The sequence below is a fragment of the Homo sapiens genome, chromosome 19 (genome assembly GCF_000001405.40).
Source record: "Homo sapiens chromosome 19, GRCh38.p14 Primary Assembly".
Lineage (NCBI taxonomy): Eukaryota > Metazoa > Chordata > Mammalia > Primates > Hominidae > Homo > Homo sapiens.
In genome coordinates this window covers 13,906,163-13,931,108 of record NC_000019.10, presented here as the reverse complement: position 1 = coordinate 13,931,108, position 24,946 = coordinate 13,906,163, and the positions used below count along the sequence as shown (strand labels likewise).

The 24,946-nt window shown below is 53.9% G+C and overlaps 1 protein-coding gene across 10 annotated transcripts, besides 2 other annotated features; it reads right to left on the bottom strand.

The window, feature by feature from the left end:
* Positions 230 to 24,908, bottom strand: CC2D1A (coiled-coil and C2 domain containing 1A). Of its 10 annotated transcripts, none has more exons than NM_017721.5 (29): positions 24,608 to 24,908; positions 21,151 to 21,286; positions 18,671 to 18,786; positions 18,516 to 18,581; positions 17,807 to 17,941; positions 17,471 to 17,705; positions 12,915 to 13,039; positions 12,533 to 12,605; positions 12,292 to 12,363; positions 12,067 to 12,197; positions 11,907 to 11,979; positions 11,158 to 11,291; positions 10,441 to 10,552; positions 10,187 to 10,359; positions 7,654 to 7,776; positions 7,503 to 7,561; positions 7,298 to 7,414; positions 4,519 to 4,592; positions 4,384 to 4,442; positions 4,237 to 4,288; positions 4,032 to 4,131; positions 3,844 to 3,934; positions 3,079 to 3,216; positions 2,921 to 2,985; positions 1,667 to 1,730; positions 1,449 to 1,575; positions 955 to 1,031; positions 820 to 867; positions 230 to 734 (listed from the first exon to the last, which is right to left on the bottom strand). In NM_017721.5, the coding sequence occupies exons 1-29, from the start codon at positions 24,665 to 24,667 to the stop codon at positions 714 to 716; spliced, it is 2,856 nt and encodes a 951-aa protein (NP_060191.3). In that variant the 5' UTR covers positions 24,668 to 24,908; the 3' UTR covers positions 230 to 713. The 10 variants fall into 10 exon arrangements, with proteins under 10 accessions (NP_060191.3, NP_001398067.1, XP_047294968.1 ...); NM_001411138.1 differs by having other exon boundaries at positions 2,921 to 2,982; XM_047439012.1 differs by having other exon boundaries at positions 10,441 to 10,549.
* Positions 9,367 to 9,567: a silencer, noted in NCBI's record as "peak3378 fragment used in MPRA reporter construct". NCBI's record gives its function as "represses an SCP1 promoter by STARR-seq MPRAs in K562 erythroleukemia cells {active_cell/tissue: K562}" and the evidence as "EXISTENCE:reporter gene assay evidence [ECO:0000049][PMID:32103011]".
* Positions 24,534 to 24,593: a silencer, noted in NCBI's record as "silent region_10218". NCBI's record gives its function as "represses an Ori minimal core promoter by ATAC-STARR-seq in GM12878 lymphoblastoid cells {active_cell/tissue: GM12878}" and the evidence as "EXISTENCE:reporter gene assay evidence [ECO:0000049][PMID:35858748]".

The window sequence follows — 24,946 nt, the reverse complement described above, 5'->3', positions numbered from 1 at the left end:
GCTGCAATGAGCTGATTGTGCCACTGCGCTGCAGCCTGGGTGACAGAGGGAAACCCGGTCTCTAAAAAAAAAAAAAAAAAGCACCTTTCACAAGCACACTGTCCCTCCCCAAAACTGCTTCCCTAACAGGCGCCTCCCCATCCACTTCCAGGGGAACCGGGGGGTGGGTGGGAAGACCTAGCCTGGCCACCGAGGGTCTGAGCAAGAAACAGACAGGACAGAGCTGGGCTGAGTGTGGCCCTGGCTATTTTATTCCATGTGCTGGCCCTGGGGACCCAGCTGGGCCAGGTCGACGCCCCTGGGGAGACAGTGTGGCTCGGCCAGCCTCAGTGGCTTCTTTGGGGTGCAGGAGGGCTTTGGGGTTAAGGCTGGGGAGGAACAGGAAGTAAAGTGCTTGCAGGGGCCCTCGGGGCTTGGCCCCAGCCACCCTCCCTGCTCCGGGGCGGGCCAGAGGCCGGACACCCCTGGGCTGTGCAAACAGGACTCTCCAGGGCCCAGCCAGGCCTGGGTGAGGGGCACATACTGGCTGGCAGGCATGGTTCCCAACACCCGCAGCCACGGAGGCTCTGGCGGGGCTGGGGGCCCGGATGAGGGGTGAGTCCAGAACCGATTGTCCGCTGATTGTCTGCTTGTCTGGTTCGTGGCTGTGTCGGCTCTTCCCGGTATCGGGGCCTGCTGCCCGCTTTCTGGGGGCTGCCCGCCCCATGGGCTCCTCACCTGCGGAGCCGCTGCAGCTGGGGGAGAGGAGGCCACTGGGGTCATGGAGGTGGGCTACGACCACAGTGATCCCCCAACCACCCCATCTCCTAAGCTGCTTACCTCACTCTCTACCAGATTCCGCCTATAGAGCGCCTCCTTTGCAGCATCCTGTGGGGGATGGGCATTCAGCAGGTAGTCCCTGCAGGCCCCACCCTGCCCGCTGCCCAGTGCCCACCCGGCCCGCGACCAGCTCACCCTGCTGCCATCGTTGCCCAGGCGCCGGGCAGCCTCCGTGTAGAACTGCAGCTGCCGCTCCAGCTGGGCTGCGTATTCTGAGAATGGATGGCGGGGGAATGGAGGCTTAGGGTGGGGCCTCACTGCCCACAACCCTCCTGGACTGTGCCCATCCCCAAGCCCGTCCCCCGCCAGGTGCCCATCCCCGAGCCCCTCCCCCTCCAGGTGCCCATCCCCGAGCCCCTCCCCCTCCAGGTGCCCATCCCCGAGCCCCTCCCCCTCCAGGTGCCCATCCCCGAGCCCCTCCCTCTCCAGATGCCCATCCCCGAGCCCCTCCCCCTCCAGGTGCCCATCCCCGAGCCCCTCCCCCTCCAGGTGCCCATCCCCGAGCCCCTCCCTCTCCAGATGCCCATCCCCGAGCCCCTCCCCCACCAGATATGCATCCCTGAGCACCTCCCCCCCCATGCCTATCCTGGAGCTCCTCCCCCACCAGATGCCCATCTCCAAACCCCTACCCCGTCGGATGCCCACACCCCCCTGCTCCAGCTGTGCCCTCTGCCACTGGCTGCGTTGCATGATGTCCTGGTACTGCTGGGCCACTTCTGGGGGCACCGGCCGCCGCGCCTGCCTGAGGGCCAGGATCTAGAGGATACAGAGGGTCCTGTGAGGATCCTGCCTGGGCCTGCAGACTCCCCAGTCCTGCCCCATGTAGCCCGGCAGGATGGATACCCACCTTCCGCTCCAGACGCTCTTGGTCAAACGCCAGCACACTGAGGCTATGCAGGGGCCGGGCTGATCTAAGGGGTGGAGGAAGGATAAGGGACTGCAGAGATTCCCCCAGCCCAACCCTGTTAATTCAAAAGACACACTGGGCTGGGCACAGTGGCTCACGCCTGTAATCCCTGCACTTTGGGAGGCGGAGGTGAGTGGATCATGAGGTCAGGAGTTCGAGACCAGCCTGGCCAATATGGTGAAACCCCGTCTCTACTAAAAATAGAAAAAAAATTAGCTGGGCATGGTGGTGTGCTCCTGTAGTCCCAGCTACTTGGGAGGCTGAGGCAGAAGAATTGCTTGAACCTGGGAGCTGGAGGTTGCAATGAGCCGAGATCACACCACTGCACTCCAACCTGGGTGACAGAGCAAGATTCTGTCTCAAAAAAAAAAAAAAGCCGAGCATGGTAGCTCATGCCTGTAATCCCAGCACTTTGGGAGGCCGAGGCAGGCAGATCACCTGAGGTCGGGAGTTCGAGACCAGCCTGACCAACATGGAGAAACCCCATCTCTACTAAAAATAGAAAAATTAGCTGGGTGTGGTGGCGCATGCCTGTAATCCCAGCTACTCAGGAGGCTGAGGCAGGAGAATCGCTTGAACCCCAGAGGCGGAGGTTGCTGTGAGCTGAGATCGCGCCATTGCACTCTAGCCTGGGCGACAGAGCTAGACTCTGTCTCAAAAAAAAAAAAAAAAAAAAAAGACACACTGGGCACTGGGGGTATGGTGGGAGACAGCCGAGAACCACCCGGTGTTACTGATCCCAAAACCTAGCGGGGATGATGGCTGCACACCCAGGAAACTATGATGCCTAGTGGTCAGGGAGGGCTTCCTGGAGGAGGTAACAGCCAAGTTGGGATCCAAAGAAGGAATCAGAGGTGGGCAGAGGAACAAGGAACACCCCTACCCTAGGTAGGGGTGTTCAGGGCACTGGAACCCACAGAAGTCCAGAGGCCAGTGAAAACTATTCATGGACATGAACCACAGGAGGGAGTAGGGAGAGAGAAGCCTGGATATGTTGACAATGGTCAGATCACAAAAGGTTTTAAAGACCAAACCAAGGAGTTTAAACTGGATCCTCTGGGAAAAGGGGTGCCAAGAAAGGTTTTGCAGCAGGAGAGGGACGTGGTCCAATTTGTGCCTGGTGGGAAACTGTCCAGGTGGGGCTGAGAGGGGAATTGGGTGTTTTCTCCAGCATGCCCTGGCCCAGATACCTACCTGTTCCCTGACTCCCTTGCAGGGGCAGGCACAGGAGGGGCCTTCCCTTTGGGCCCAGCAACCTGCTTCAGAGGAGAGAACCAGTCCTGTGAGTCCTGGGCCCCTGAACCAAGCTTCCCTCCCTGGGGTTGCTGATGGGTGGGGGTGGGGGGTCTCACTGTGGGCACAGCTGCCGGCACAGGGTCAATGACCAGCCACCTCTCTGTCGTCGTCTCCAACTGCTGGGCTGTCAGTGGCTCCCGAATCCGGACCATTACCTCCAGTCGCCCCCCTGTGGGCCGGCGACCATCCAGGACCTGGGTGGGGGTAAGGAGAAACTGTTGGTGGGAAGCAGGAAGTGACTAGAGGCCCAGGGCCAGGACAAGGGAGAACAAGACTGGTTTTTTTTTTTGGTTTTTTTTTTTTCTGAGATAGAGTCTCGCTCTGTTGTCCAGGCTGGAGTGCAGTGGTGCAATCTGGGCTCACTGCAAGCTCCGCCTCCTGGGTTTACTTACGCCATTCTCCTGCCTCAGCCTCCCGAGTAGCTGGGACTACAGGCGCCCGCCACCATGCCTGGCTAATTTTTTTGTATTTTAGTAGAAACAGGGTTTCACCATGTTAGCCAGGATGGTCTCGATCTCCTGACCTCGTGATCTGCCCGCCTCAGCCTCCCAAAGTGCTGGGATTACAGGCATGAGCCACCATGCCTGGCCAAGAGTGGTTTCTAAAATATGAGCCCATGGTATGGCTGAGATACCAGTTGATCATAATGGAGTGGGGTACTGCAAGTATTTAGGGCTGGGCAGTAGGGAGGTCTGAGGCTCTGAGGGGAGGGGCTGGGTCAACAGACAGGCTCATAGAGGGCTCAAGGCAGGAAGTGTTTTAATAATGTTAACGAGTAGCATGGCCATACCGGAGCACGCGGATGAATGTCCACCTCTCACCTCAAGGATCTCCCGGACCTCACATGCTATCTCCAGTGCATCCAGCTTCAGCTGGGCTGTCCCCAGCACCCGGTCAGTCTTGAACAGCCCCCTGTGTGCATGTGTGTATAGTGGGGACAGGATGGTTGGTTCAGAGGAGCTCCCCTCCCCTGGAGCCCACCCAGCGGCCATGGCTCTCTCTAGCTCACCCCTTGTGAACCACTTCGAACTTGATGCCCTTGGTCTGGATGGCCCTTCGGAAGCCACGGTGGCTGCGGTTGATGCAGAGTTTGAACTGCTCCTTGAACTCTGCAGGAGGAAGGAGGGAGAGGAAGTTGGGTGGGGTCAGGCCATTGTCTTATGTCCCTTCTGCTGCAAGGGAGTAGGGGTAGGGTGCTTCCAGCCGAGGCTCACCAGGGGAGTCTGTGTTCTTGATCACACTGGTCTTGTCTTTCTGAGCTTCTTCCTATGACCAGAGAGGAGGCAGGAAATCTAGGGGGCCTGGGACCTGGCTTTGGCCCACTGAGGCTGCAGCCCTCCCCTCCTCAGCTCCCCACGTACCACGTTGGGATAGGGGAAGTCAAACCGAACAAAGACATCCAGATCGCCAGGGGACAGTCCTGTGGGCAAACAACGGTCAGAGCTGGGCAGAGAGGGGGTCCCCATGACCCTGACCCTTGCCTACAGCCCCCTCACCTGGGGGTGTGGGCAAGTTGATGCCCTTCACGATGAAGAGGAGCATGTCGTTGCTGCTGAGGTCAGGGAAGATCCTTCCGGGTGGGCAGGTGGGCAGGCAGGTGGGCAGGGAAACAGAGGCACCTCAGTCCCACTGCCCGCCTGCCTTCTCTTCCCCCAGTGGGGGCAGGGAACAAACCCCACCCTGGCCTTCGGGGGTGTCTCAGCTCCTGGGCTCATTTTAGAATCAGACAGACTAGAGTTCTCTGTTCAGGTTGGCAATGGATCACTTTCGAGTCTTTTCTTCAGTCTGTGTATATTTATTTGGTATCTACTGTGTGCTAGGTACCCTAGCTGCTGGGTGATATTCCCTTCACTTAACAGTTGTTGAGTCCTACTAAGCATCAGCCAGTGCCCTAGCTGCTGGGAGATCTTTCCTTCATTTCCCAATGTTTCTTGAGCACCTACTATGTGCCAGCCAGTACCCCAGCTGCTGGGGGACCTTCTTTTCACTTAATATATATGTGTGTGTGTGTGTGTGTGTGTATATATACATATATATACGTGTATATATATATATATACACATATATATACGTATATATATATATACACACATATATGTATATATATATACACATATATATACGTGTATATATATATATATATATATATATATTTTTTTTTTTTTTTTAGACAGAGTCTTGCTCTGTCGCCCAGGCTGGAGTACAATGGTACGACCTCAGCCCACTGCAACCTCCACCTCCCAGATTCAAGAGATTCTTCTGCCTCAGCCTCCTGAGTAGCTGGGATTACAGCTGCCCGCCACCACTGCTGGATAATTTTTATATTTTTAGTAGAGATGGGGTTTCACCATGTTGGCCAGGCTGGTCTCGAACTCCCGACCTCAAATGATCCGCCTGCCTTGGCCTCCCAGCCTGGCCTCACTTAATATTTTTTGAGTCCTATTAAAGCACCAGCTAGTGTCCTAGTTGCTGGGGGACCTTCTATTCATTTCACAATATTTCTTTTTTTTTTGAGACAGTCTCACTCTGTCGCCCAGGCTGGAGTGCAGTGCGATCTCTGCTCACTGCAAGCTCTGCCTCCCAGGTTCATGCCATTCTCCTGCCTCAGCCTCCTAAGAAGGTGGGACTATGGGCGCCTACCACCACGCCCGGATAATTTTGTGTATTTTTAGTAGAGACGGGATTTCACCATGTTAGCCAGAATGGTCTCGATCTCCTGACCTCGTGATCCACCCACCTCAGCCTCCCAAAGTGCTGGGATTACAGGCGTGAGCCAGCACGCCTGGCCTCATTTCACAATATTTCTTGAGCACCTACTATGTGCCAGTCAGTACCCTAGCTGCTGGGGATCTAGAAGTAAATACCCATACCCTGTGCTCAATCTAGCTGAGTGGACAGATGAGCATAAGTACATAAATAGAAAAACAATAAAAAACTCAGCAGAGAGGGGAGAGTGGAGTGTGCTCAGAAGAGACTGCTCGGATAGATAGGGAGGGCCTCTTAGAGGGAAGGTGACATCATAGGTGACTCTAGATGTCAAGAGGGAGCTGCCACATGGAGACCTGAGGAAGAGGGTGAAGGCGGAAGAAATAGCTGATGCAGAGGCTTGGGGTAGGAACACACTTTGTTTGTAGGAGGGACCAAAAAGAGTCCCTTGTGGCCAAAGCTGAGTGAAGCGGGGACAGGAGGCAGAGAAGAGGTGACAAGGAGCCAGGCTGTGTGGAGATGGGGGAGCCAGGGTAAGGGGTGGGGGTTATCCCAAGGGCAGCTGGGAACCACCGGAGGGCTAGTGGCTGCACCTAACCTCATTTAGAAAGTGGAGAAAATGGGCCGGACGCAGTGGCTCACTCCTGTAACCCCAGAATTTTGGGAGGCCAAGGCAGGCGGATCATTTAAGGAGACCAGCCTGGCCAACTGAATGAAACCCCGTCTCTACTAAAAATACAAAAATTAGCTGGGCATGGTGGTGGGCACCTGTAGTCCCAGCTATTTGGGAGGCTGAGGCAGGAGAATTGCTTGAACCTGGGAGGCAGAGGTTGAAGTGAGCTGAGATTGCGCCACTGTACTCCCGCCTGGGTGACAAAGTGAGACTGTCTCAGAAAAAAAATTTTAAAAAAGGCCGGGAGTGGTGGCTCACGCCTGTAATCCCAGCACTTTGGGAGGCCGAGGTGGGCGGATCACGAGGTCAAGAGATCGAGACCATCCTGGCTAACACGGTGAAATCCCGTCTCTACTAAAAATACAAAAAATTAGCCAGGCGTGGTGGTGGGCGGCTGTAGTCCCAGCTTCTCGGGAGGCTGAGGCAGGAGAATGGCATGAATCCAGGAGGTGGAGCTTGCAGTGAGCAGAGATCACACCCCTGCACTCCAGCCTGGGCAACAGAGTGAGACTCTGTCTCAAAATAAAAATAAAAATAAAGTGGAGAAAACAATCCCCGCTCCTCTGGGCATGGGAAGACTTGATAGTACCAAGACTAACACCCACCAAAGCCGTGACTCATCTCTGGTCCCCCGTGGACTCACCCAGGCCCTGGGACAAGATACACCTTTGCACTCTCTAGATCTTTCCCAAATGCGTCACTGTGACTGCACCCTCACCATCCTTCACTTGTATCTCATGCCTGCCCCAGAGCCTTTGCATGCTCTGTGCTCTTCCACCTATCCAAAATTTCTTCCAGATGTAAATCTTGTGCCAGCTTCTGGGGAGCACAACCCGCCCCACCGCCACCAAAGGGCCACTGGGGCCACGTGGTGGGGCGTAGATCAGGAGCCTTACTTGATGACGCTGAAGGTCCTTTGCTCAAAGCGGGCGGTGGGCGTGGGGAGACCCCGGACGAAGGCTTGCTTCAGAATGTCCATGCTCCGCTTACAGTCCTCCGCCAACTTTTCAAACCTGCCGGTGGGAGGGCCCTGCTCATGTCCCTGGCCCTGGGGATGGGTGGCTGGGGGTGCAAGTGTCTGGCACAGGTCAGGGCACTTACTTGGTGGTTTCAGTGATGTTGCCCAGCTGGGTGAATTGGTTTGAGTGGTTCAGGCACATCTGGGGAAACAGAAGGCAGTGAGTCGAGGGAAGGGAAGAGAGGGGAAGGAGGGTCACGCTCCTGGGGGATGGGCTGGGGGCCTCCCCCTCACCTCGTGCTGCTGCCGTATGAGCTTGGTGAGTTCACCATAGCGCCGGGCGGCCTCCTGAGACAGACCCGGGCCAGGCCGCTGGACCAGGGCAAAGTCGTCCTTGTTGACAGGGGCAGGCGGCACCTGGGGAGGACGAGGCTGGTGGCGGGGGTAAGGAGGACAAGCAGGCCCACCTAGGGCTCTGCAGAAATGTCATTCTTCCTTGACGAGGGGCATTCCCTGACCACGGCTCTGTCACCCTTCTCTGGTCTTTTTTTTTTTTTGAGATGGAGTCTCGCTCTGTTGCCCAGGCTGGAGTGCAATGGCGGGATCTCAGCTCACTGCAACTTCCACCTCCCGGGTTCAAGTGATTCTCCTGCCTCAGCCTCCTGAGTAGCTGGAATTACAGGCGCCTGCCACCACACCTGGCTAATTTTTGTATTTTTAGTAGAGACAGGGTTTCACCATGTTGGCCAGACTGGTCTCGAACTCCTGACCTCAAGTGATCCGCTGGCCTTGGCCTCCTTAATTGCTAGGATTACAGGCATGAAAGACCATGCCCGGCCTCTGTTCTTTCTTCTTGATCCTTCCATTGTCCCATTTAACAAGGGCATCCTTCAGTCACCCCAGAAATCATGTATGGTGCCGGGTGCAGTGGCTCATGTCTATAATCCCAGAACTTTGGGAGGCTAAGGCGGGTGGATTGCTTGAGCTCAAGAGTTTGAGAAATCATGTATGGAGCCCCTACTGTGCGCTAGGCTCTGCTTTGGGGCTGGGGACACAAGGATGAAGAAGAGAGAACAAAATCCCTGCCCTCGTGGGGCTGACATTCTCTTGGGGGAGATGGGCAATAATCAGAAGAAATAAGTAAATCATATGAGAGAGTAGAAGGTGATACATGCCACAGGGAGAGGCAGAGCTGGGAGGAGGAGCAGAGGGATCTGGGTGACAGGGAGGGATTTTAGACAGCTCAGGGTAGGCCTCCTGGAGATGTGATGTCTGAGCAGAGACCTAATGATGGGAGAAAGTGAACCACACAGGTGTCTGTGGGAAAAGCATTCAGGCAGTGGGAACTGCATGTGCAAAGGCCCTGAGGTTGCAGAGTGCCTGGTGTTTGAGGCTACCAGACAGCAAGGGGAAGAGTGAGCGAGGGGGTGGGTGAAAGAGAAGGGGCAGGCCGGGCACAGTGGCTCATGCCTGTAATCCCAGCACTTTGGGAGGTCGAGGCAGGTGGATTGCCTGAGGTCAGGAGTTCAAGCCCAGCCTGGCCAACATAGTGAAACCCCATCTCTACTAAAAATATAAAAATTAGCCGGGCATGGTGGCGTGTGCCTGTAGTTCCAGCTACTCGGGAGGCTAAGGCAGGAGAATCGCTTGAGCCTGGGAGGTAGAGGTTGCAGTGAGCTGAGGTCGTGCCACTGCATTCCAGCCTGGATGACAGGGCGAGACTCCGTCTCAAAACAAAACAAAACAAAACAAAAACAAGAAAGAGACCAGGCAAGGGAGCTGATGGGGCAGATGGTGCAGTCTTCATGGGCCGTGATAAGGTGCTGTATTTATTTGTGTGTTTCTTGTGGTCTCTCAATTAGAACATCCACTCCATGACAGTGAGTCTCACTGTGTTTCCCAGGCTAGTTTCGAGCTCCTGGCCTCAAGGAATCCTCCCACCTCAGCCTCCCAAGTAGCTGGAATTACAGGTGTGACCCACCATGTCCAGAGAGAGTGTGGATTTTTGCCTTTTTTGCTCAAGGCCATGTCTCCAGTGTCCAGCAAAGACTACATGTCCCAGGCTCCTCTGAGGCTAAATGTAGCCATGTGACTGTTTGGGCCAATGGGAGGCAAGCAAAAGTGATGTCACTTCCTTAAACTGGGTGGCCTTTGCTGGGCGCCCAGTTCAAGCTCCTCAAATGTTTCCTATTATGAGTACTATTCTATCACATGAGGAATCCTGGCTGTCTTTCTTTGAGGCAGGGGTGGCCATCCCCACTTCTCTGAGAAAAATGATGCTCAGAGAAAAAGGAATGGTCCTGTCCTAAGTGGCAGAATCTAAGTGTCTCCCCAGATCTGATCCCCTCCCCTTCCCTAGTAATGGAGCTCAGGCTGGTCACACAGTGCACCAACAAGAGACTACATGTCCCAGCCTCCTCTGTGGCTAAATGTGGCCATGTTACTTAGTTCTGGCCAATGGGAGACAAGCAATAGTGATGTCACTTCCTTTAAAAGGGACTACTAGCTCTGCCTCTTTCTCTAGTCCTTCTGACAGGATCCACTTGGATCATGTGGACAAGGACAACCCCCTCAGGTGCAGCAAAGCAATAAGGTGGAAGAAACTCAGGCCCTGGAGGACCTCCCATTTGCAGAGCCCAGACTGCCCTGGGTGGTACATGCAAGAAACATAATAAATGTCTGTCTCCTTTCAGCCATTGTCTTGGGAGGACCTATTTGTTACAGCAGCTGGACCTTGACTAATACACTTCTAGTTCACGTGGCTGCTAAGGGGCAGGAGCCTGACAAGTGGGTGCCTGGGCAGTTCCCACAAGCCCAGAAGGTTCACCTTGGTGATGTCCACAGGCAGCCCATTGCGCGAGGCCTCCAGCATAGGCTCCAGTCCCTTGGCTTGGCGCAGGTGCATCTTGGCACCCTCCACGTCGTTTTTCTGCTTGGCTCGCAGTGCGGCCTGCAGGAGCTGCTTCTTGCGGCCCTCTAGGAAGGCCAGCTGCTGCTGGGCTGTGGGCATAGGAGCTGCTATGGGTGCTGCCCAGGCCACAGCCAGGCAACAGGCAGCTGGGGCGGGGAGGGGGAACTTACCTCTGGTGGATGTGGCTTTGGGGGGCGCTTTGGCTGTTGGGGCTGATCCCGACTGGGGAGTTCTTGAGGGTGGGGCTTTGGGCTGGGCTGTGGGGGCCACAGGGCTGTTCTGCTGTAGAGGAAGAGAGAGGATGTTAGAGATTTCGTAGCGCCTGTGATGAGTCCAGTCCCCAAGGATCAGGGTCTGATGGTGACAACAGTGGTCATTTAGTGGGCTCCCAGGACTTTGCTACTCCCCTGCCTCACTCAAAGCCCCTGGCCCCAAACACCTTTTTTTTTTTTTTTTTCTTTTTTGAGACAGAGTATCACTGTATCGTCCAGGCTGGAGTGCAGTAGCACGATCTTGGCTCACTGCAACCTCTGCCTCCCGGTTCAAGCAATTCTCACCAAACACTTTTTTTTTTTTTTAATTGTCTTGGAGATGAGGTCTTGCTCTGTCACCCAGACTGGCGTACAGTGGCATGACCATGGCTCACTGCAGCCTTGAACTCCTTAGTTCAGGTGATCCTCCCACCTCAGTCTCCCAAGTAGCAGGGACTACAGGTGAGTCCCACCATGCCTGGCTAATTTTAAAAAATTTTTTTGTAGAGACGGGGGTCTCACTGTGTGGCCCAGGATGGTCTCAAACTCCTGGCCTCAAGCGATCCTCCCATCTTGGATTCCCAAAGTGCTGGGACTACAGGTGTGAGCCACTGCGCCCGGCCCCAACCCTCAAACCTTCTTAGGCACCTCATCCTCTTCATCCTCTGGGCCTTCATCCTGGTTGGCCAGCTTCATGGCAGTCTCCAGGACACCCACCAGACTCTGCTGGGTGGGCTTGGTGGCCTCCAGGCCCTGGATTGGGGGGAAGCCTGGGTGGCCAGTCGAGGCCTGGTTATTGTGTGTCAGGATGGAGACCAACTCACACCATTATGGTGGAGATGCAGATTCCTCTCCCACCTATAGAGTCTTGGGCCTTTACTTTTTTTAATTAATTAATTTTTTTTTTTTTGAGACAGGATCTCGCTCTGTTGCCCAGGCTGGAGTACAGTGGCATGATCTAGAGTGGGACTGCAGGTGTGCACCACCACACCAGGCTAATTTTTAAATTTCTTGTAGCCACGGGGTCTTGCCACGTTGCCCAAGCTGGTCTTGAACTCCTGGCCTCAAGTGATTTTCCCACCTCAGCCTCCCAAAGTGCTGGGATTACAGACATGACCACCTCGTCCAGCCGGTTTGCCAATTTCTACAGTGCAGACACATCATGTCCAATGTCAAGCTCCCACTGATTAACAAGTTTACAAAACCCTTGAATATGTTGTATTCAGCTCCCTGAGCCTGTGCTATGGGGAGTAATAGCATCTGCCAAGGCTCAGAGGCTGGAGGAACAGGAGCTTGGGGCACAGCCTGCCAGCGGCGGGGCCTCTGGGGGCGGGGCCTACGGGGGCGGGGCCTACTGGGGCGAGGCCTACAGGGGCAAGGCCTACCTGGGGGCACGGGCAATTCAGCGACATCCACGGCTCGGCCAGCCTTGTGGGCTCGGATGGCATCTTGGTATTGCTGCGAGGGCCACAGGTGTTAGGGCTGCCTGTGGGAGGGCTCCCGGGCTGCCCACTCGCCCCACCTCCCCCGGAACCCCCAGGGCACCTTGACGATGCGCTCGTGCATTCGAGCTTTCCGCTGGTCCCCCTTGCTCTTGGCCTGGGCTGCGGCCACCTGGTACCGCTCCATCCGCTGCTCCAGCGCCTCCAGCAGGGTCCTCGGGGGTGGGGGCACCTCTGGGCCGGACAGGGGGACAAGGTTAAGAGTCAACGGATGGGTAGACAGTCTGGCTCCAGCCTGCCCCCAACCCCAGAGGGTCCCAGAACCTACCTGTTGTGGAGGGCGCCGTAGCGGGGGTCGGAGGCTGCGACGGTGGTGACGGTGGGTCTGGGGGCAGCTGGTCTGGGGACAGAGAGGTCCAGGCCAATGAGGGGCTTGTTAGCTGCACCCCCGACAAGCTGGTCTGGCCTGAGGGTGGTCTCTGGGCCTGACCAACAGGGGTGGCAGCATCAAGGAGAACTTAGTGTATGCCTGAAACCATCCCAGAGAGTGGGCATGGCAGGGTTCTCACCGGGTGGAGGGGGCAGGCAGGAGAGGTCCACGGGCTCACCCCGGCTCAGGGCCTCCAAGACAGCATCAAAGCTCTGGGAGAAGGAAGAGGAGATTAGAAGAAGAGGTGCAGTTGGGGGCTTGGACCCTGTGGGGAGCCTCCGGGCCCTTCCATGCCACCGAGGACTTCTAGCTCCCTCCCTTCCATTTGTGCCATCTTGCTTAATCCTCTTCCAACACACGTGCCCATTTCACAGAGGGGGTAAACTGAGGCTCCAAGACTTACAGCAAACTATTGCTAGGGAGTGACCAAGCTAGGATGCAAATTTGGGTGCTTTGCCACCAGGCCACGTGGGAAGCATCCTGCCCCATCCCTCCAGTCCTGTCCGTCAGGCTGGACGCACCTTAGCCACGCGGAAGTGTCTAGCGGCAGCAGTGGTATCTCCCTGCTGCTTGGCGTGGAGGGCAGCCAGCTTGTAGTCGCGCTGGCGGCTCTGCAACTGGGCCAGAGGGCCAGGGCTGCAGGGACCTGGAAGGGAGAACAACATACAGGAAGCCTCCAGGGCCTGGGCCAAGTTCACCGTGTAAACCATTTGTTATTTATTTATTTAATTTTTTTTTTCTTTTTCAGACAGAGCCTCACTCTGTTGCCCATGCTGGGGTACAGTGGCGCAATCTCAGCTCACTGCAACTTCCGCCTCCTGGGTTCAAGTGATTCTCCTGCCTCAGCCTCCTGAGTAGCTGGGATTACAGGCACATGCCCGGCTAATTTTTATGTTTTTAGTAGAGACAGGGTTTCGCCGTGTTGGCCAGGCTGGTCTCAAAGTCCTGACCTCAGGTGATCCGCCCACCTTGGACTCCCAAAGTGCTGGGATTATAGGTGTGAACCACCGCGCCTGGCTTTAATGTATTTTTTGAGACTGGGTCTTGCTCTGTTGCCCAGACTGGAGTGCAGTGGCACAATCTTGGCTCACTGCAACCTCCGCCTCCCAATTTCTGGCTAATTTTTGTATTCTTAGTAGAGACGGGGTTTCACCATGTTGGCCAGGCTGGTCTCAAACTCCTGACCTCAAGTGATCTGCTCACCTTGGCCTCCCAAAGTAGGATTACAGGTGTGAGTTACCGTGCCTGGCCATATTTAATGTATTTTTTTTTAAAGAGATAGAGTCTTGCTCTGCTGCTCACTATAGCCTCAGACACCGGGCTTAGGCGATCCTCCCATCTCAGCTTCCTGAGTAGCTGGGGCTACAGAGCATGCACCTGCATGCCCGGCTGGTTTTTTATTTTTTTTTGTAGAGATGGGGTCTTACTATGTTGTCCAGGCTAGTCTCAAACTCCTGGGCTCAAGTGATCCTCCCACCTCAGCTTCCCAAAGTGCAGAGATTACAGGCATGTGCCACCATGCCCAACTCACTTTTTAAATATATCCTGGGACTCACTTTAAGCAGTTGGGAATTTTGAGTCTTCTCTTATTTCCATCCACGTCCCCCACAGAAATTTATGCTAACATGATATAGCTGTGTGTTTGAAAGCCTTTTTTGCCTACCCTATTGTATATTTATACAACCAAAATATATTTATGCAGTGTGTTTGCAAAGTTAGGAAACCCAGTATTCAGTGCTTTTTAAACAGTGTGTTAGTTACAGTTTCAAATAATATGCTCAGTATGTTTTCTGGGGAAGTACCTCAATGTTTAAAGCTATAAGTGCAATTCTTAGTATAAAATAACACAGTACAATAAAGACACCACCCAGTGTCTGCAAAATCTGGAAACACCCAGAAAATGGCACGCAGTATCTTTTTTTCAGACTAACAACTGGACCCATTGCTTTAAACTTAGGCTTACTTCCCTGAAAATATGTTTGGAGGTAGAAGTGACACACCTTTGACATTGTATTGGTTTTATTTCCTGTGATTATAAATCTTTCATTGTTAAAAACAATGTTTTTCCGGGTTGAATTATTGTTATAATTATTACTAGCATGTAATTGAGCAAAACGTAAATACATCAAGCTTATTTTATTTTATTTTTTTGGAGACAGGGTCTCATTCTGTCACCCAGGCTGGAGTGCAGTGGTGCAATCACAGCTCACTTCAGCCTCAACCTTCCAGGCTCAAGTGATTCTCCCACCTCAGCCTCCCAAGTAGCTGGGACTACAGGCATGCACCACCATGGCTGGCTAATTTTTAATTTTTTATAGAGACGCAGTTTCCCTATGTTGCCCAGACAGATCTCGAACTCCGGGGTTCAAGCGATCCTCCCACCTTGGCCTCCCAGAGTGCTGGAATTATAGGTGTGAGCCACCACACCCAGCTGAGCTTTTTGGGTTGGTTTGTTTGTTGAGACAGAGTCTTGCTCTGTCGCCCAGACTGGAGTGCAGTGGTGTGATCGTGGCTCACTGCAACCCCTGCCTTCTGGGTTCAAGTGATTCTCTTGCCTCATCCACCCGAGTGGCTGGGACTACCAGCATGCACCACCACGCCCAGCTAATTTTTGTATTTTTAGTAGAGATGAGGTCTCACCATGTTGGCCAGGGCTGGTCTTGAACTCCTGGCCTCAAGTGATCCGCCCGCTTTGGTGTCCCAAAGTGCTGGGATTACAGGTGTGAACCACCACGCCCAGCCCCTGCTGAGCTATTTGATAGTTTTGGTACACCAAGAGCAAAATTCTACCAGAAATGTACCTCTTGCTGACATAATTGGAGCTGGGTCCAATCCCTAACAATCAACTCGTTTCTCCCATTCAATCCTCTTCTGTTTTTTCTTTTTTTAGAGATAAGATCTTGCTCTGTTGCCCAGACTTGGAGTGGCACGATCACGGCTCACTGCAGCCTTGAACTCCTGGACTCAAGCGAACCTCCCACCTCAGCTTCTCGAGGAGCTGGGACTAAAGGCATGCACTACCACACCCGGCTAATTTCTTAATTTTTATGTAGAGATGGGTTCTTGCTATGTTGCCTAGACTGCTCTTGAACTCCTGGCCTCCCAGAGTGCTGGGATTACAGGCATGAGCCACTACATCTGCACTTTTTTTCTTTTTTAAAGTGTTGAGGCCAGGGGTGGTGGCTCACGCCTGTAATCCCCGCACTTTGGGAGGCGGAGCAGGCGGATCACCTGAGGTCAGGAGTTCGAGACCAGCCTGGGCAGCAACATGGTGAAACCCCGTCTCTACTAAAAATACAAAAATTAGCCGGGCTTGGTGGTGGGCGCTTGTAATCCCAGCTACTCGAGAAGCTGAGGCAGGTGAATCACTTGAACCTGGGAGGCGGAGGTTGCAGTGAGCCGAGATCACGCCATCGCACTCCAGCCTGGAAACAAGAGCGAGACTCCGTCTCAAAAAAATTAAAGTATTGAGAAACCTACTTCACATTAACAAATAGATTGGAAGACACAGAATTTTGTTACTGTGATGTCTTTGTATTCTTTGAACTCCTGACAAGTTTTATGCCAAACTTCCATTGTGAAAAATTTTTGGTCGTTTCAGTTGACAATTTCAGGTGACAATTCCAGTAATCCTTGAACTTTGTCAAAAACAATGGCTTGGAAACTAGCTTGGTTGCAGAAGGATTTAGTGACCCAGTGTTTGCTTTCTCAAACCCATGCCAGTATTTTGAGTTGTCTCTTTGCTTCCTGCCAGGGAAGTGTTTGGACCTGGGGCAAAGCCCCGTGTTCATATCACAAAGAGAGGGAGGGAGGCCTTCCTTTCCTAGGGGGAGGTTAGGAAGAAAAACCTCTTAGAAGATATGTTCTAGCTTGGGCAACATGGCACCTCTACAAAAAGTACAAAAATTAGCTGGGCATGGGGCACGGTGGCATATGCCTGTAATCCCAGCTACTCAGGAGGCTGAGGCGGGAGGATTGCTTGAGCCTGGGAGGCAGGTTGCAGTGAACTAGGATCATGCTACTGCACTCCAGCCTGGGCAATAGAGTGAGACTCTGTTTCAAAAAAAAAAAAAAGGCGATGAGGCCTGGCGTGGTGGCTCATGCTTGTAATCCTAACACTTTGGGAGGCCGAGGCAGGCAGATCACAAGGTCAGGAGATCGAGACCATCCTGGCTAACACAGTGAAACCCCGTCTCTACTAAAAATACAAAAAATTAGCCAGGTGTGGTGGCATGCACCTGTAATGCCAGCTACTCAGGAGGCTGAGGCAGGAGAATTGCTTGAACCCAGGAGGCAAAGGTTGCAGTGAGCCGAGATCGCACCACTGCACTCCAGCCTGGGTGACAGAGCGAGACTCCGACTCAAAAAAAAAAAAAAAATTAGCCAAGTGTGTGGTGCATGCCTGTAGTCCCAGCTACTGGTGAAGGTGAGGGAAGATCCCTTGAGCCCAGGAGGTTGAGGCTACACTGAGCTATGATCACATCACTGCACTCCAGCCTGGGTGATGGAGTAAGACCCTGTCTCAAAGAATTAAAAAAAGCCGGGCACAGTGGCTCATGCCTGTAATCCCAGCAAATTGGGAGGCCGAAGTGGGTGGATCACCTGAGGTCAGGAATTCAAGACCAGCCTGGCCAACAAGGTGAAACCCCATCTCTACTCAAAATACAAAATTAGCCAAGTGTGGCATATGCCTGTAATCCCAGCTACTTGGGAGGCTGAGGCAGGAGAATCGCTTGAACTTGGGAGGTGGAGGTTGTAATGAGCTGAGATCGTGCCACTGCGCTCCAGCCTGGGCAACAAGAACGAAACTCCATCTCAAAAAAAAGAACTAAAATAATTTTTAATGGCAAATGTGATCTATATTTTATCATAATATCATAATAACAACAAAAAAAACTCTCTGGGTATCCATGTCCTGCTTGGGAGGTATTCATGAACTCCAGGGGCTTGAAGACCCCAGGACTCAGGGTGTTGAAAATATCTCACAATCAGTGCACAGCCGGCACCCCCCTAGAGCAGCATCCTGCCAGATGGCCCACTCGGATCCCATATCAGCCCGGCCCTGCCCATCACCTACCTGGGGGCATCTGGGGCTTAGCCAAGCCTGGAGATGAGGCTGGGGCGGTGGCAGAAGGTCCCTCCAGGGTGACCCTGGGCTCTGGGGCTGACGCGATTCTAGGGGCCGGCTGGGTGGGTGCAGGGCTGTAGGTAGGCGTGGACGCCGGGCCTTTTCCTATGGCCACTGGCGGCGGGATGTCCGCTTCGTCAATGGCATTGCCCTTACGGATGGAGGCGAGCAGGTTTTCCAGTGTCTAAGATAAGGCGTGAGTATTGGTTTGGGAGAAGCCAAGAGCTTGGTGCAGGGCATCGGGGTTGGCGGGGGGTCCCTGTACCCTGCCCTCTGCCCACTTACTTTAAGCCCCCGATCGTAGCGCCGCATCTTGGCGCTGTCTCCAGCTTGTCTGGCGCTTTCAATTGCTGTCTGATAGAGCGCCAGCCTCTCCTGCAAGGTGGTCTCCAGCCCCGGATGAGGGGCCTCAGGCTTCGGCTGTGGGAGGGCAGGGGCACAGTGTGGGTGGTGACCCCACTTGGGATGCCCCTGTTAGCCCCTTCTGCAGTAACAGTCGGCCCCATGTCATCCCTGGACCAGCCTCCCCTGCCCCAGTGAGGCAGAAATCATGGTCCCCATTTCCCAGTGGAGGGAATGGGGTTTCAGAAGCATCATGTCACCCACCTGATATGGGTCACATGGCTGTGAAGGATAAGGGTGGGCCAGGCGCGGTGGCTCACGCCTGTAATCCCAACACTTTGGGAGGCCAAGGCAGGTGGATCACTTGAGGTCAGGACCAGCCTGGCCAACACAGAGAAACACCATCTCTACCAAAAAATACAAAAATTAGCCAGGCGTGGTGGCACACACCTGTAATCCCAGCTACTGGGGAGGCTGAGGTGGGAGGATCCCTTGAACCTGGGAGGCAGAGGTTGTAGTGAGCTGAGATGGCACCACTGCACTCCAGCCTGGGTGACACAGCAAGACTCCATCTCATAAAAAAGGCTAGGTCTTGAACCCCGGGCTGTCCGTTGGGTTGTGGTTCAAGGGAGTGGAGTCATCCAAACTGTACCTGGGCCACAGGAGGTGGGGTCTCTGAAGCCTTCTGCTCCTCTCCAAGGACCTCATTTAGCTCCGCCTGCAGGGACACACAGCCAGGGCAGGATATAAGGGCCTGCTGGATGGGGGCAACCGGATCAGAGCCCCCACCCCGCCCTCAGTGCTCACCAGCAGGTCATCATCAGCCTCCAAGTCGTCCTCATCCGTCCCCTCCTCCTCATCCTCATCCGGGTCTCTCATGCACAGGCTGGCCATCTTCTCAATGGCCTCCATCGGCAAGGGACCTGGCGGTAGGGGGATGCCCCAGGTGGACCAGGGTCGTACACCAAGAGCCCCCATTTCCCATCCTGGACACGCTAGGTGATCCCACTTCTCGCTGACTTCCCCATTTCATCTCTTCCTTATTCAGCCTCAGGTCTGGGGCCTGGCTACCTGAATTCAAAACCCAGCTCTGCAGACCGGGCACAGTGACTCACGCCTATAATCCCAGCACTTTGGGAGGCCGAGGCAGAAGGATCACTTGAAGTCAGGCGTTCAAGACCAGCCTGGCCAACATGGTGAAACCCTGTCTCTACTAAAAATACAAAAATTAGGCTGGGCGCAGTGGCTCACGCCTGTAACCCCAGCACTTTGGGAGGCCGAGGCGGGTGGATCACAAGGTCAGGAGATCGAGACCATCCTGGCTAACACGGTGAAACCCCGTCTCTACTACAAATACAAAAAATTAGCCAGGCATGCTGGCGGGCGCCTGTGGTCCCAGCTACTCGGGAGCCTGAGGCAGGGGAATGGCGTGAACCTAGGAGGCGGAGCTTGCGGTGAGCCAAGATCGCGCCACTGTACTCCAGCCTGGGCGACAGAGCGAGACTCCGTCTCAAAAAAAAAAAAAAAAAAAAAAAAAAATTAGCTGGGCATGGTGGCGTGTAATCCCCGCTGCTAAAGAGGCTGAGGCAGGAGAATCACTTAAGCCCAGGAGGCAGAGGTCGCAGTGAGCTGAGATTGCGCCACTGCACTGCAGCCTGGGCAACAGAGCAAGGGTTTGTCTCCAAAAAAAAAAAAAAAAACACACACACACAACAACAACAAAAAAAACCCCAGCTCTGCAACTTTCTCTCTGTGAGAACTTCGGCAAGTGATGTCACCTCTCTGAGCCTCAGTTTCTCCCTCTGTGACACGGGGATGACAACAGTTCCTCCTTCATAGGTAGGTTGGAGCAGAGAAGGTCAATGAAGCTCTTAGAATAGCATATTGCCAATATCTTGTTATTAGTTATGTTACATTCTATAAAGCTGCTTTGAAGACTAAATTAATGACTATAAGACTGTTGCTCCTAGGGGAAATTTAAGCTTAGGTTCCTGTGAATCTCCAGTCATAACCTTTTTTGGAGACAGGATCTTGCTCTGTCACCCAGGCTGGAGTGCAGTGGCCCAATCAGAGCTCACTGCAGCCTCAAACTCTTGGCCTCAAGTGATCTTCCTGCCTCAGCCTCCCGAGTAGCTGGGATTACAGGCATGCACCACCACACCCAGCTCTGGTCACAAAATTTTAATCAACTGATCAATACACAACCTTGCTCTATGTGTGTTTCTGTTTGAAGACACCTTCCTGAATAGATATCGTTCATTCATTAACTTTGAATTCACAGCCAACAGCACAGTAGTTCATGCCTGAATGAAGCTTCTCTCTTTTTTGTTTTTTGGAAACAGGATCTTGCTCTGTCACCCAGGCTGGAGTGCAGTGGCGCAATCTCTGCCCACTGCAACTGCTGCCTCCTGGATTCAAGCGATTCTCATGCCTCAGCCTCCCAAGTAGCTGGGATTACAGGTGTTCGCCACCAAGCTTGGCTAATTTTTGTATTTTTAGTAAAGACAGGGTTTCACCATGTTGGCCAGGCTGGTCTCGAACTCCTGGCCCCAAGTGATCTGTCCACCTTGGCCTCCCAGAGTGCTGGGATTACATGCATGAGCCAATGTGCCTGGCTGACATGAGCTTATTGTGTGTGAGGGGGCCCTGGGTGAAATACTTATGGACTCCAGATTAACTCCTATAACATGGTTATTATTCCAGTTTTACAGATGGTGAAACTGAGGCCAAAGCACATGATGTGACTCATCAAGTCACATAACCAGTAAGTGGCAGAGCTCGGATTCCAACTCTCAGTCTCGGTCCAGACTTGATCTTTTTTTTTTTTTTTTTTTTTTTGAGACGGAGTCTTGCTCTGTCGCCCAGGCTGTAGCGCAGTGGTGCGATCTCGGCTCACTGCAAGCTCCGCCTCCCTGGTTCACGCCATTCTTCTGCCTCAGCCTCCTGAGTAGCTGGGACTACAGGCGCCCGCCACCACGCCCGGCTAATTTTTTTTTTTTTTTTGTATTTTTAGTAGAGACAGAGTTTCACCGTGTTAGCCGGGATGGTCTCAATCTCCTGACCTCATGATCTGCCTGCCTCGGCCTCCCAAAGTGCTGGGATTACAGGCGTGAGCCACCGTGCCCGGCCTCAGAGTCGATCTTGACTCTCTTACCCAGATCATTGGCTCCAGGAGAACAGGGGTCTTCTCTGTCTTCTTTCCCCTACCTACCCAGTGCCCCCAGTTCTGCGCCCGAACCACTTGCAGGAGATCAGAAAATGTTCTGAGGGTGTGTTAACCATCTCACCTTTGCCTTTGAGCTTCTCCAGGGCTGGGGGCTGGCCCCCGACCAAAGCCAAGAACTCAGCCTCCAGTTCTTCATCGTTAGCCCCGTCCTCAGGGATCATCAGGCCATCTGGGGAGAGGTCAACCAGCAGGCCCAGCTAGGGGAACAGCAAGGGTTCAGTCAGACCTTTGGTTCACCACATGGCTAGAGGCAGCCATGATGGCCAGAGAGTCCCCTTGGGAGGAAGGAAACAAGGTCTCCCAGGGAAAGCCATTTCCCTGGGGAGTGCCAGGAGGCTGGAACAAGCCCAGAACAGGTGTTCCAAGATAGGCCAGGCCCTCTGGCACAGTTCAACCTGGGGCAAAGGGCAAGAGACCCAGCTCTCTGATCTGAATCCACACTTATGATGTGCTGCTGGGCCAAGTTCAGTGGGAAAAGCAGGCCCCTGGCTGGGCGCAGTGGCTCACGCCTGTCATCCCAGCACTTTGGGAGGCCAAGGCAAGAGGATGGCTTGTGTCTGGGAGTTCCAGACCAGCCTGGGCAATACAGTGAGACCCCCAACTCTACAAAAAAAAAAAAAGTTTTTTGTTTTTTGTTTTTTTTTGACACAGAGTCTCGCTCTGTCACCCAGGCTGGAGTGCAGTGGTGCAGTCTCAGCTCACTGCAACCTCCGCCTCCGGGGTTCATGCCATTCTCCTGCCTCAACATCCCGAGTAGCTGGGACTACAGGCGCCCGCCACCACGCCCGGCTAATTTTTTTTTTGTATTTTTAGCAGAGACGGGGTTTCACCTTGTTAGCCAGGATGGTCTCGATCTCCTGACCTCATGATCTGCCCGCCTCGGCCTCCCAAAGTGCTGGGATTACAGGAAAAAAAACTTTTTAAAATTAGCTGGGAGTTGTGCTGTGTGCCTGTGGTCCCAGCTACTCGGGAGGCTGAGGCAGGAGGATCACTTGAGCCTGGGGAGATCAAGGCTGCAGTGAGCCATGACTGTGCTACGGCACTCCGCCTGGGCAACAGAGTAAAGCCCTGTTGAAAGGAAAGAAAGAAAGAGAGATGGAGCCGGGGAGGGAGAGAGGGAGGGAGGAAGGAGGGAAGGAAGGAAAAAAAGAAGGAAGCGAGGGAGGGAGGGAAGGAGGGAAGGAAGCAGGCTCCACACTTTGCCCAAAGCAAAGCTACTCTGTACACTTGGGCTTTTCTTTCCAGCATCCTCAGCAGAGGGGCTGTGTGGGAAGGTTGGGCTTCAAGAGCATGATGGCTGCATGCGGTGGCTCACGCCTGTAATCCAGGAGTTCGAGACCAGCCTAGCCAACATGGTGAAACCCCGTCTCTACTAAAAATACAAAAATTAGCTGGGAGTGCTGGCGGTGTCTGCAATCCCAGCTACTCGGGAGGCTGAGGCAGGAGAATTGCTTGAACCTGGGAGGTGGAGGTTGCAGTGAGCTGAGATTGCGCCACCAAACTCCAGCCTGGGCAACAGAGCAAGACTCTGTCTCCAAAAAAAAAAGAAGAGCAATTAGAAGCCCTGACGACAGGGCCAGGTGCAGTGGCTCACGCTTGTAATCCCAGCACTTTGGGAGACCAAGGTGGGGGGATCACCTGAGGTCAGCAGTTCGAGACTAGCCTGGCCAACATGGTGAAATCCCATCACTACTAAAAATACAAAAATTAGGCCGGGCACGGTGGCTCACGCCTGTAACCCCAGCACTTTGGGAGGCCGAGGCAGGCGGGTCACCTGAGATGGGGAGTTCGAGACAGACCAGCCTGACCAACAGGGAGAAACCCCGTCTCTACTAAAAAATACAAAATTAACCAGGCATGGTGGCGCATGCCTGTAATCCCAGCTACTCGGGAGGCTGAGGCAGGAGAATCGCTTGAACCCGGGAAGCGGAGGTTGCAGTGGGCCGAGATTGCGCCACTGCACTCCAGCCTGGGGCGAGAGAGCAAGACTCTGTCTCAAAAACAAACAAACAAAAAAAGAACCCCTAACCACAATGCAGGTTTGCCATGCAGACCCGTCTTCCTATCTTGGCTAATGACCAATCATGATGTGATAACATCGTGTTTAACCATATGAAATTGCCTTTCCTGTAGGTAAAAAATGGCCAAATATTGGCAATTATGTATGGTTCCACCAACTAGTAATAATGATAATAGTAACATTTATTGAGTGCTATGTTCTAGCACTTTCCATAAACTATCTCAATGACTCTCTACAACTGTCCTGTAATGTAGGGTCTCTTGGAGGTCTCCATTTTTAATTTTTTATTTATTTATTTATTTTCAGAAGGAATTTATTTATTTATTTTGAGAAGGAGCCTTGCTCTGTCACCCAGTCTGGAATGCAGTGGCGCGATCTCAGCTCACTGCAACCTCCGCCTCTCGGTTCAAGCGATTCTCCCACCTCAGCCTCCCGAGTAGCTGGGATTACAGGTGCCCGCCACCATGCCCAGCTAATTTTTGTATTTTTAGTAGAGATGGGGTTTCGCCATGGCCTCCCAAAGTGCTGGGATTACAGGTGTGAGACACCACCCCGGACTTCCATTTTTAATTTTTTATCTTTATTTTAGAGAAAGAGTCTTGTTCTGTCACCCAGGCTGGAGCAGAAGTAGCGCAATCATAGCTCACTGCGGTCTTGAACTCCTGGGCTCAAGCAATCCTCCCTTCTTAGCCTCCCAAGTAGTAGTACTACAGGCACATGCCACCATGCCCAGTTAGTCTTTTTTTGTCGAGACGGGGGTCTTGCTTTTGCCCAGGCTGGTCTCAAACTCTGGCCTCAAATGACTCTCCCACCTCTGCCTCCGCCTCCATCTCCTGAAGTGCTGGGATTATAGAGATCTCCATTTTACAGATGAGAAAGCTGAGGCTCAGAGCTGTAAAGTCAAGTGTCCGATGTACAGAGGCCAGGAGGGAACTTCAGGTCAGCCAGACTCTAATATCTGAACACCAAGCTATGTCCTGGGCTCCTTCCATCAAAACTGAGAAAAATCAAACTATCTGGTGCCTGGGGCAAAGAAGTCGGGAGAGTGAGAAGGGGTCCAGCCACAGTGCCATAAGCTTATGGCTGCAGCCCTGGATTTGTGCTTAGCCCTGGCCAAGCTGTTAATCCCTATGACCTTGGGCAGATGTCTTCACGTCTCTGAGTCTCAAAGTCCTCATCTGTACAATGGAATAAAAAGAGTCTGACATGGCCCGACTGATGCAAGGGTTTGATGTGTCAAGTCCGAGGACTGCCCCTCCTCGACTGGAGCAGCTGTGGCAACAGGTGGCCCCGAACCCGGGGCAGGGCCCCAGGAGCTGGGGAGCCAAGGCCAGTAGGCCACACTTGGGTGGTGTTGGAGCCTCACCTGGGGGGAGGCGGGGACCGGGGCTTACCTGTGGGGCGGAGATCGGGCTTCCCTGGGGGGTGGGGCCCTTCCCTGAGCGAGTGACGGGGGTGGGGAGGGATCCCCAGGTCGGGCCGTGGGGCGCAAACTCACCTGGCGGGCGGCCGCGGCGCCTCTGCCCGGGGGTCCCGGGGGTCCTTTCCTCTTGTGCATCTTCAAGGCTGGATGCCCGGACCACCTGCCCCCAAGCCCGGCCTTGCCCTGCCTCCTTCCCCGGGCTCTGTCGCCGCGCACTCGCCCTTCCTGAGTCCTGCACTCCTCGTCGGCGCCCCGCGGCCGTCGATCCCGAGCCCTCGCTTCCCTGCTTGGCCGTCCCACTTCCGCCTCGGGCCTCGGGCGCCGCCGCACCGGAGCGCGGCCACTGGGCTCGCCGGGTCTGCCGAGCCGAAACTACAACTCCCGGCAGGTAGTGCGTGGGCGCGCAGGCGCCTG